Consider the following 13161-nt stretch of genomic DNA (forward strand, 5'->3'; position numbering starts at 1 on the left):
TCACATACGGCATATATCTTAACAGGTCATTCAGTCTCAATGTTCTCGTTCCTTTCTCTGCCTTCTGTAGAGGAATAATAGGTTCAGAATCAGAAATGTCCCCTCTTGAAATATGTGCGTTGTCTTTGTGAATATATCAATAATAGTATAAGCATACAAATTATTTATGTTTTTTTCTTTAAAATACAGTACTGTGACCATCCACTTGAACAATATTAGTGGACACATTTTTGGTTTGCTTTGTTTCATTTTTTTCCCATTAAGGAAATGTCTGCTTTGTTATAACACAATACTAATGCATCACTGTACACTTTAAGACTCCTCGTTGTTCAACTTTTTCTCTTAAAGTCTCCTTTTTGGAACATAGAGCTTTTTCATAGAAAAAGTATTTCTTCCTGGAAGAATATTGAAGTGGAGACACTCATAAAGTGTCTGTGAAAATACAACTCTCTAGGAGTAAGGGTTCTTTCTGTGAAATAACACATCAAAGAGGAATGAGGAGAGCAAGACAAAACCCAGTAGAGATGGATTGGAATGGGATGCATTACTTTGGAGTCATGAAACATATGTACTGTCTGTGTATATGTATATAAACATTTGTGTAAATATATGTGTGTGCGTATGTATGCATGCACACATGTTTCTTAGCTCTGTTCACCAAAAAGACCTAGAAGCAAATGCACTCAAGTAGCAACTTATACACCTAGGATTCAAATATTTGTCTTTATACCATTCCCCACTAAAAGAACCAGAAAACCTTGAAGGAATGTCTTTTTCTAGAGCTGAGGCAAGATCAAGATGAGCCTGGAACATATTATGCCAAAAAGAAAAGAGGTACTCCAATAAACAATGGGGCATGTCACAGGGACAGAGAAAAACGATTAAAAAGAGCTTCCCTAGTTGAATCTGGGTAAATTTGAACACCAGTATAATTAAGGACAATAATGAATTATAGATTATAAAAAGGAATCCATGTGCCCATTGAAATAAAAGATTCACAAAAGAGAAAAATATGGACTTTTGCTTATAGTCAAATGCTAAGTGTCAACAAGTAAATGTAGAGAAAGGAATGCTGGAATAGGAAAAAAAATCATTATTTTGTAACCACCATGCTAGAAATGGACTCCATCAAGAACCATTAGTAGATGCTAAATCTATGGGAAATGTTGATAACAAGCATATTTATATGGTCCTAATGTTATCTCCCCATGGGTTGCTTATTAGTTGTAAGTGGTAGAGTAGAGGGCTGGGAAGGCGTAGGGGACCTTCAAATTCTGCTTGGCCAAGTACTCAGTTCTGGAATCATAAATGAGGCCAGAGAGAGAGCTTGTGCCTCTGGATGTGATGCCCTGAGAACAGATCATTTACATTTCATTTGTCTGAATGCATAACCTAAGTCTAACATGAGACAGAGACACATTCAAAATGATGAACATTTTATTTATAAAAAGGGGCTAGATTCTTTAAAAATATCAGTTGCCTGAAAGTCAATGTATTTAGTACTGTTCCAACTCACAGCAGCCTGGAAAGACATGGCAACAAAACCTGACCCTAAACTGGATCCTAAATTGGTGAGGGGAGTGCTACACAAATGACATTATTGGTCAGTTGCCAAAATGCAGATGAAGATTAGATAAAAGTATTGTGTTAATATTAAATTCACTGAAGTTGAGAACTATACTATTCATATACACATTTATTTTTAAGAAATATGTACCAAAGTATTTAGGATTAAGGAGAAATGATTTGGGTAGCTTATTCTGATGATATATAGATTCTCTTGTGTGTGTGTGTGTGTGTGTGTGTGTGTGTGTGCGTGTGTGTGTGTATGTAATTATACAGAAAGGAATATTTTGGTATATATATTTCAAAGTGTTGACAATAGGTAAGTCTGGATAAAGGAAACATGGCTGTTCTATGCACTATCCTCATTCTTAAAATTTCCTTTGGTTTTAAATTATTTAATACCTTTTTAATGGCAAGAAGGAAAAAAAACACAGTAATTTGTAAAGATAAAAAAATACAGTGTTAAGAACAAGGAATCTCAAGGTTCCAGGACTGATGGGAAATATGTGAAGGTGACATTAATACATGTTCTGCCATGAATAGAAATATTTTTCCAAATGAATGTATGAGCAGTGATACCATAAGGGGCCTGGGTTCCATGGAATAAATCTTGAAAAATGATGCAGAGTTACGCTGTTAGGTTCCACGCTGATCTAAGAAGTGTATCAACAGATTCATGCCAGTCAGTTTTTCCTATGCCATTTTTGCTATGGAAGTTCAAACTCTCAGAACTGTATTACAGGCCTACAATGTATATCTGTCCAAAGCTAGGTGTTATCCAAGCCTGGGGAAAATACACAGACAACATTATTAAGTAAGGCTGTAGTTAAACCTGGAATGGTGGTATCATTTGTTGATTTTAGGTAACCATAGTGTGGCCATTGCATTTACCATTTACAAGCTATATACAGGTCCATATGCAGGAATACAAAATTATGAAAAAATACAAAATTTGCAGAGAATCAAAATGGAAGCTTTTTCTTAACACATTCTGTATCTGAACCTGACCTGACCTCATGCTAGGCTATTCATAGTCTCTAATGAGCCCATTTGGCATGAATATCATATGCTTTACTGCAAATATATAGTTACATTTGATTAACAATGTAAACAATTTGATATGAGTATCATATGCTTTACTGCAAATATATAGTTACATTTGATTAACAGGGTGCTACTACAGACCCCATTAGGGAAAAAAGAAAAAAAAACCCTGCACAGATACTATGTTACTTTTCTAAAATCTGAAAGTTTCAAAATCTTAAGATACCTGGGCTGGGTGTGGTGTCTCACACCTGTAATCCCAGCACTTCGGGATGCCAAGGCAGGAGGATCGCTTGCCAGGAGTTCAAGACTGTCCTGGGCAACAACATAGTGAGACCCAGTATCTACAAAAAATAAAAATAAAAAAATAACTGGTCATGATGGTGCATGCTTGTAGTCCTACCTATTCAGGAAGCTGAGACAGGAGGATTGCTTGACCCCAGGAGTTCAAGGTTGCAGTGAGATGTGATCATGCCACTGCACTCCAGCCTGAGAAACAGAGCAAGACTCTGTTTCTGGAAAAAAAAAAAAAAAGTGTTTTAGGTAAACGATTGTGGATCTGTGCTGTCTAATTTCATTAGCAGACAAGTTATTTATCCTTCTTAAGTAACAATAATAAGAGAAAATGTAATACTAAAAAGTGGAATTGAAAATGGAACACTAAAATTCATTTAATGAACCCAGAATCAGGCAAGATTTTAAAACTCTGACTTAAAGAAAGACAATGTGGTAAATTATCCATAGCTGTGCGACCTATTTTAATTATAAGTAGAACCATAATATACAAGTACTCCAAATGTACTTTCTCTTTTCCTTCTGCAGTTATTAGCCATGTGCAGGCAAAGACATAGTGGCATAGTGGCAAATTTTTCAGACTAAGAATTTAGATTCACAATCCCACTCTTTGCTGCCATTATCTTAGTCACTTGTACTCCTTTACCAGTTTCTCTAAATGTAAAATAAAATAGGCAATTTTGGTTAATGTAAGCTTTCTTATGAATTTTAAAATGAAGCGATTCTAAAGCTTCCAGAGTTTATATTTTTATATTCTTATTCCATATTATTCTAAAATACATACTCCTAGAATTTTATTGAACTGTAAAAATGTAATTTTGTTTGTTTTGAGAACAAAAACCCACTTATCCTAATCACTTTTCTTTCTTTCTTTATTATTTTTTTATACAGTGCAAGTTCCAGGGCCAGTAGAAAACCTGCAAGCTGTATCTACCTCACCTACCTCAATTCTTATTACCTGGGAACCCCCTGCCTATGCAAACGGTCCAGTCCAAGGTTACAGATTGTTCTGCACTGAGGTGTCCACAGGAAAAGAACAGGTAGGTGAAGGAATGGACCACACTGCTTCCATCTGTTGGATGTTTCCATCCATTGGATAGCTCTAGGGCTGGAGAAATAGGAAAAGACTCGCAAACTCTTGAAACAGCCCAGTGTTAACACATTCATTGAAAAGCTGATTAGTTTTAAAGCACTTGTTATTGGAAACTTTACACAATTTAATTAAATTCTGGTGGTAAGAGGTAAATGGGCAATAAAGTGAAGTCAATAGAAAGGATACCAATTTTTTGGTTGAGTCTGCAGTGGCCTGGCGTGTGTGGGCAACCAGATTTGTATTAACTCACCTGGTCGTGGAAGGCATTTGCAGTTTTATTCCTTAGACTAAGGGGTGATTGCCCTCCTAGTCAATGGCGTTTGCCAAACTGCTTTTTTCATTCTAAGACATTTATATCTAACTCCCTTCCATCATCAGGATGTGTCCTACCATTTTTTAATGTTTTCAGAAGAACTTACTCTGAGAAGCCTAGTCTCCTTCTCCTTACATTTTGCTCCTACCCAATGGTTAGCATAGACACCTGAAAAGAAGCAAATTAACTGTTCAGGTAAACTAAAAGTAAAAAGGTCTTTAGGGAGACACATGAAACTGAAAAATTCTATTTGGTGATACATGCACACACATATGTTAAAAATAGAAATTGAGTTTCATATATATGTGTATATATAATATGTATACCTATATAATACATATATATTACATATATACGTATATGTATTATACATGTATAATACATATATAAGCATAATACATATACATATATTATATATTATATAATACATATATACATATACATATATAATACATATACGTATACATATATAATACATATACATGTGTATATATACATATATGTGTTATACATAATACATATATACCACATATATGTATTATAACACATATATACCACATATATGTATTGTAACACATATATACATATATGTATTGTAACACATATATGTATATATGTATATATACATATATGTATTGTAACACATATATGTATATATGTATATATACATATATGTATTGTAACACATATATGTATATATGTATATATACATATATGTGTATATGTATGTGTTATATATAGTATATATAATATATAATGTATATGTATTACATATCTATGTATATACATGTATTATATATAATACATATCTATGTATATATACATGTATGTATTATATAATACATATCTATACATCTATATGTATATAATACATATCTATGTATAATATATAATACATATATGTATACATATATATAATATATGTATACATATTTATAATGCATATATATATGTATGACTGTTGAGGTATTTACTTCCAGATTCTCAACTTCATGTAGGAAAATATATACAGACATGTATATATTCAATAGTTAAATCAAAAATTGGCCCCAGGATATGGGAGTTCTTATTATTTGTTGTGAAGCTTGTCAAGCATAGAAAGGCCTTCCTGCTTTCACATAAACTGCATGATCAGAATTTTTACTTAAAAATAAGAAATATTTTATATTCAAAAATAGCTCAAGCCCAGTCCCAAATTATATTATAAGATAAGCATTACAAGAGCTCCTCCTATGTAATCATGGGTTGTATTTTTTTCTTGCTATCTTCAAGCTATTTTTTGCTCTTGTTTTTTCAACTTTCTGTTTTATCTGCCTTTCTATATATTTTAGCTCTTCAACGCATTTTGCCAACCAATTTAAATAAATTCAAAACCATCATCATCCAAGATAGATGTGAGTGTGAAGATCTGATTCCTCAGTAACCTTCACCTCCAGTATCTCATTTACTGCAGCCATGAGAGGCTCAAATAATTTCAACCAATCTAACAGCATTTTGGGAGATAAAAATTGTGGCAAAGTGTCTGACAGTTTCAAGAGCTGTGGGTATATTTCAGCAAGAGAAGCACAAAATCTATTATTTCTTGGTGAATTATTCCATTTTGGGTACAGGAGAAAATCTCTGTTCCCATGGCGTTATAAGCTGCCTTCTGCCTGTGAGGGTTTAGGTGTGGGTAGAATAACCCAAACCATTCAGTACATTGAGTAGTGTTAAACAAATTGGAACTTAATGACTGTAAAAATAGCATGTGCTGTTTTAACAAGGAGTCTACAGATTAGTTGGTTTTTAGTGGGGGAGTCTGTGTCACAAGGTAGGTTTTATAGCTCATTAGAAGGCTGGAGTGTAGTTTGTAAGAGTCTAATGTCCAATTCACTGATTGCACAGAATGAGTGCCATTTCTACTTTAATGTGCTTCCTTGATAACAGTTTTGGTGTTTTATGTCTCCAGAATATAGAGGTTGATGGACTATCTTATAAACTGGAAGGCCTGAAAAAATTCACCGAATATAGTCTTCGATTCTTAGCTTATAATCGCTATGGTCCGGGCGTCTCTACTGATGATATAACAGTGGTTACACTTTCTGACGGTAAGTTAAAAACAGTGAAACTCCTTTTACATATTTGACATAATATTGACAATAATGACATGATATTGCACATATATCATATATTCCATTTTCAAGGCTTCCTGACTAAAATTTTATGGACTATTACAGTTAAATGTAAACTTTCTATCAAGATACATACTCCCAGCTGGATGTGGTAGTTCACACAGGTAATCCTAGCACTTTAAGAGACTGAGGCAGGAGGATGAGTTAAGCCTAGGAGTTCAAGACCCACCTGAACAACATAGTGAGACCCTATCTCTGTAAATGTTTTTTTTTTTTTTTTTTAATTAACTGGATATGGTGGCATGCACCTGCGATCCCAGCTACTTGGGAGGCTCATTCTGGAGGATCACTTGAGCCTGGGAGTTCAAGACTGCAGTAAGCTGTGATCGTTCTACTGCACTCCAGCCTGGGCAACAGAGTAAGACCCTTTCTCCAAATTAAATAAATATATATGTATATATGTATATACATATGTATATACTCTTGAGTCAGTATATACTAATAGGTAATCCTCAAAATGTGACTATTGACTAAGAGCTAAAACTTTGTGTATTTTTTATTTCTTTACATTTTCTAATACACATTTGTGCATGTGTGGATTAATTTTGATTGGCATGTTTTATTCCCCCATCTAAAAGTGTGCAGATGATTAAAGGTGTAAATGATAGACAATCCCCCTATATTTACCTCTTAATTAGAAAATATATCAAAAGGAATTAGGCCAAATAAGCTGATATTAAAATTTAAAGTATTAAAATTGAGCATGAAAAATGTGTATGTTGCCTACTAAATGGAAGAATAGACACAAACACACACATTTGAGACAAGAAGTGCAGTGACTCAATTGTGCTTCACTACACCCTTTATTCCTGGGCTCAAGGGCTTTTCTTTTCTTTTCCTTTTTTGGAAACGGAGTCTCGCTCTGTCACCCAGGTTGGCATGCAGTGGTGCAGTCTCAGCTCACTGCAACCTCCACCTCTCGGGTTTAAGTGATTCTCCTGCCCCCAGCCTCCTGAGTACCTGGGATTACAGGTGCATGCCACCACCCCTGGCTAGTTTTTGTATTTTTAGTAGAGACAGAGTTTCACCATGCTGAGCAGGCTGGTCTGGAACTCCTGACCTCAAGTGATCCACCCGCCTTGGCCTCACATAGTGCTGGGATTACAAGCGTGAGCCACTGCACCCAGCCTCAAGGGATTTTCCTGCCGAAGCCTCCCGAGTAGCTGGAACTACAGGCATAGGCCACAGCACCCAGCTAATATTTTTATTTTTTGCAGAGGCAGGGTCTCACTTTGTTGCCCAGGCTAGACCTGTTTTTGAATGCCATAAAAGAGAGGAACAAATCTTAATAAAGAGAATAAATTTGACAAAATAATGGCCAGGGGAAACTAGAAACCTAACTGCTAGATGATCATGAAAGGTTGGGAAATTTTATAAAAAGTGAAAATAAAATACATCAAAGTATATGATGTGGGGCCAACGAAAACTCAGGCAGGTGCAGAAATGTAGCGATAGGCCCTTGTGAATATTAAAAAAGGCCACAAGCTAGCTCTTTTCAGCAACAATTTCCATTTGGTGTGTTTAATTCTATAAATTATTTATCTTTTTAATTAAAAAATGACTTTAGCTTGTGATTTCTTGACAGATCTATCATTGTTTATTCTGGGAAAGTACCTGGGTGTACATTTCACACAATATCAGTGAAATGAGGAAGGGCATGCATATTATTAAGGACAGTACAAAGAGAACACAGGAATAATGCTCATTTGCAAATTCAACTTTAAAATGTATTTTATACGTAATACCACTTTGGTATCATTTTTAATGTAATTCTTAGGCCCATCCATCCAATTCTGTTATTGAAGACAGAACAGAATATTTATTGGTAGAATAAATTACTTCACAACTTATAATTATAAAAATAAAAGAAAAACAAATGAAAGTGAATGTTTTACATAATTTATGTAGATTTCATTCACTCTGAACTGTAATACTGTGGCCTGATTCTCCACTTTGGTTTTAAATGTCATAAGTGAGAAAGATAGATTATTATTCATTAGTCCAAGAATTATCTTCTGGAAATGTTACAATGTTTAGGACTTAGACAGTGTCTGTCAGTATAAAAAAAGTATTTCGTGACCCTAACCCCAATAAACATCACTGTGCAAAGGACACCAAATTCTCTCTCTCAAATGCACTGAAAGGAGATAGCAAGGACTTTATAAGCTTCTTAGAGTGGACACCGTGACCTCGTTTGCATTCATTTTTACAATCAACCCATCTCTTTTAATGTCCAACACAAATGTGTGGCTCTTGGCTTTCATTTCCTTATTATCCAGTTCCTTTCTGTCTACTTCAATCTCATGTCTCCTCCTCTGTCCTGAAGCTGTTCATGCTGAGGTCATATATCACATTGAGTTGTATTTAATCACATTTAATAGTCACCTGCTTCCCAGTCTTCAGTCATGGAGCACTCTTCTTCGTTAACTTTATGTATGTTGTAACAGGTGGATGTTGTGAAAATTAAATGGGCTGATCTGTGTAAACATCTAACAAAGTGTATGACATTTAAGTGTTTAATAAACATTATCTCTACCAAAGTGCACTTCACTTTTTCTCATTATATTAATATTAAATACCCCTAAATATGAAGGATGCTGTTATATTCACCTCTGTTTTCTTCCTGAGTAAATATTTATCGAATTAATTAGACAGCTCAGTCAAAACTGTGCAAATTTCTGTATGCAAAGGCTTATCTTTAGGATTTCCCATTTGTGGAACTAATTTGATATATTAATTTAATATATGACTGTGTCTAAATGCATCTGTATTATAGTGAACATAATAATTCTTTTCATATCAGGAGTCTTACCATAAAAAATATATTGAGACATAGAAAAATTTTTAAAAAAGCAAAAGTTAAGTGTAAATACATTTCTTCCAATTTCATTACTTTATGTTTTTTTTTCCCTGTTCTACTGGGATGCTTGTAAAGATCTTTGTCCAGATGAGCTGTCATCTCTAATTTAGCTCGGCTTTATTTTCTGAGTAGAAACCTTATTTTTTATTCAAATTCCTCCACCTAGAAAACCACTGGTTTACAATGAGCCATTTTTTTTTCACACCACTGAGATTATACAGCATATGATCATCTAAATAATTTTGCCAATTTGTTCCAAAATACTGTCTCTTGCACTAGTTGGTAAGTCACTAAGAGCTTTTATGAACGAATGAACCATTGAAAGTTTCCATGCCAGCTTGTCCTGTGTCCAAATGCAGAAGGACCTGATTTCATAGGCAACATAAGAATGTGCTTATTATTTTTATGAATGTTATTAATATTTCTTGAATACTTACTAATGGAAGGCCCTGATCCAAGTACTTTGCCTTTACCTTTCATCCTCACGATACTACTAAAATTTTCCCTACTTTACAGATGACAAAACTAAGTCAGAAAGAGTTCACAACAGGTAGTAAGCAGCAGAGCCAGACCACATAAGCTAGTAAATTCAGAGGCAAGATTCATTGTGGAAACATGTTTCTTTTATTCTATGATAAGTGCCTTTAAAGGAAAATGCTTATAATTAAATATGAATTACTGGCCAGGCATGGTGGCTCACTCTTGTAATCCCAGCACTGTGGGAGGCCCAGGCGGGCAGATCACAAGGTCAGGAGATCTAAAGCATCCTGGCTAACATGGTGAAACCCACTCTCTACTAAAAATACCAAAGAATTAGCTGGGCGTGGTGGCGGGCGCCTGTAGTCCCAGCTACTCGGGAGGCTGAGGCAGGAGAATGGCGTGAACCCAGGAGGTGGAGCTTGCAGTGAGCCGAGATCGTGCCTCTGCACTGCAGCCTGGGTGACAGAGCGAGACTCTGTCTCAAAAATAAAATAAAATAAAATAAATATAAAATAAATATGAATTACTGCTGGGCAGTAATTACACTTGTAATCCCAGAACTTTGGGAAGCTGAGGTGGGTAGATCACTTGAGGCCAGAAGTTCGAGAACAGTCTGGCCAACATAGTGAAATTCTGTCTCCAATAAAAATTTAAAAGTTAGCCAGGTATGGTGGTGCACACCTGTTACCCCAGCTACTCGGAAGGCTGAGGCAGGAGAATCACTTGTACCTGGGAGGCGGAGGTTGCAGTGAGCCTAGATCACACCACTGCATTCCAGCCTGGGCAACAGAGAGAAATTCTGTCTCAAAATAAATTAGAATTATTTTGGTCTATAAATTCTGTGTACATGGCAGCATACATTTGCTGAGGGGAGGAATTCAAGTGCCTGTGCCTTGGGAGACTCATTTACAATTATGGGGACTTGATCTGTCCTACAAAATACCTCATCTCCATGAGTTTCAAGCCAACATCCTTCTCCATATTGAGGGAAGTTTCCAGCCCCACCTCTCATTGGCTTGAATGGACCTATTTATTATAAATAATAAATTATTTGACATTTTGAAGAGAAAAGTGTTCTTTCACTTCTGCCTCATGAAACAAGAAGCGTCTTGGGAAGACAAATATAGAAAAGAACAATCGATATGGATTCTCTTCACTTTCACCTAGCCCTAGCATCTATTGTATCTATCTATCTCCAAATAATATGGAAATTGATAGTGAGAAGGAGGGAGTAGGAACTGATCACTAAAAATACTGTAGAAAAAATTCTCTACTCTCCTCCCTGACATGACAACAATAGCCAGTGTGCTATCAGTGGAAAGTTAGAGAAGAAATGTGCACTGTAAAAAAATACAGAAAAACTACTTCAATACCATTACAAAAGGACTTTTAGCAGAATTGTATTTTATTGCCTTTCAATTCTTGTTTTTTTTTTTTCTTTTTTTTTGAGACAGAGTCTCACTGTCTTGCCCAGGGTGGAGTGCAGTGGCACAATCTCAGCTCACTGCAGCCTCCACCTCCCAGGTTCAAGTGATTCTCCTGCCTCAACCTCTGGAGTAGCTGGGACTACATGAGTGTACCCACACGCCAGGCTAATTTTTTGTATTTTTAATAGAGATAGATTTTCACCTTATTTGCCAAGCTGGTCTCGAACTCCTGACCTCAAGTGAGCCACCTCCCTCGGGCTCCCAAAGTGCTGGGATTACAGGTGTGAGCCACCATGCCCAGCCTGCCTTTCAATTCTTAATACAGAAAACAGCCCTGATGCTTATAAAATTGTGGTAGCTACAGAAAAAAGAACACATATATATCTATCCTCTTAAAGTTTTCTTGGCTTTCTAGAAATAAGGAGTTAAATGCCACTTGTAAACTCAAATGAAAGTGACATTTAAGGGTTGCATATCAGCTAGAACAGTACCTACAACAAAACACATGATAAATGTTACCTTCTCTTTCTTCCAAAATTCAATTATCTATCAAAAATTCAGTTAGTAATTGATATTATGTTTGGATACTAATTGATCAAAAAGTTAGTGTAATATTATTAGAAACATATAGCATGACATGTCAGTATTACAACATTAAATATAAACTAGAAATATTCTTTCATGTTTAAGAAGTGACTCGGCCGGGCGTAGTGGCTCACTCCTGTAATCCCAGCACTTTGGGAGGCCGAGGCGGGTGGATCACGAGGTCAGGAGTTTGAGACCAGCCTGACCAACATGGTGAAACCCCGTCTCTACTAAAAGTGCAAAAGTTAACTGGGCGTGGTGGTGGGCACCTGTAGTCCCAGCTACTTGGGAGGCTGAGGCAGGAGAATGGTGTGAACCCGGGAGACGAAGGTTGCAGTGAGCTGAGATCGTGCCACTGCACTCCAGCCTGGGTGACAGAGCGAGACTCCGTCTCAAAAAAAAAAAAAAAAAAAAAAAAAAAGAAGTGACTCAATATCACTTAATATTAAGACATTATTTCCAAACTTTGCTTTTAAAGGATAACATTTTTGGAAGTTTGTGAAATTATATGATATAGAGCATGTTATTTTATTCTACAAATAGTACTTCAATTTAAAAAACTAAATTGTAATTTTTATGTCAATAATTATAACGTTTAGAATAGATTAAATAATAATACAAGTACAATTTATACTTTAACTTAAAAATTTACAAAACAAAACTTGGGACCAAACCCTGAATATGGAACCATTTTTATTATAATTTATAAACTTTTTATTAATATATTTATTCAGCAACTATTTACTGAGTGTACACCATGTGCCTTCAACTCTTCCTGATACTGGTGATACAACATCAAAATGAATAAATATCTTTTTCCTTATTGGGGTTACATTCTGTATTTAATTTTAAAATCAGAATAAGAATCTCAAAAAATTAAATAACATTTTATAAATTGTGGAATATTTTTGAAAGAATACTTGCTGAGTTAATTCATGAAAAACAAGCAGATGAGCATTTTGTCAGAAACTACACTGGCTGCAACCTTCATCAGGCACTAAGATCAGAAGTTCAAAATCAAAATAAAAAAAAAAGATTTCATTTTCTGTTATTCCCAGAAAGGTCTAGAACTATATAAGTAAGTACTCATTTGCTCATTCAATCATTAATTCAGTAAATATTAATTGAATGTCAGTTTGGAAGATAAAAGATTAATCGGTGGCACATCATGTCTTCATGATAATTACTATTTAGAAGATAAATTCAGAGTATGGCATAAATAAATTCATGGTCAGATGTAAGTACTCTATAGAAAAACATAGATTTTTTTCCAAATTCTAGTAAAAGAAGGGGAAAGATGTCAAAAATGGCCCTTAGATTCTTGAAAA

At 35.1% G+C, this 13161-nt stretch overlaps 1 protein-coding gene across 5 annotated transcripts in view; it reads left to right on the plus strand.

The window, feature by feature from the left end:
- DCC (DCC netrin 1 receptor) overlaps positions 1–13161 on the plus strand; it is a 1195703-nt gene that overhangs the window by 861224 nt on the left and 321318 nt on the right. For all 5 annotated transcript variants that reach the window (NM_005215.4, XM_017025568.2, XM_017025569.2 and 2 more), the window contains 2 exons: positions 3796–3944; positions 6259–6397. In NM_005215.4, coding sequence (NP_005206.2) covers positions 3796–3944; positions 6259–6397 — 288 coding nt within the window. The remainder of the gene's footprint in view (positions 1–3795; positions 3945–6258; positions 6398–13161) is intronic.

Source organism: Homo sapiens, chromosome 18 (genome assembly GCF_000001405.40).
Source record: "Homo sapiens chromosome 18, GRCh38.p14 Primary Assembly".
NCBI lineage: Eukaryota > Metazoa > Chordata > Mammalia > Primates > Hominidae > Homo > Homo sapiens.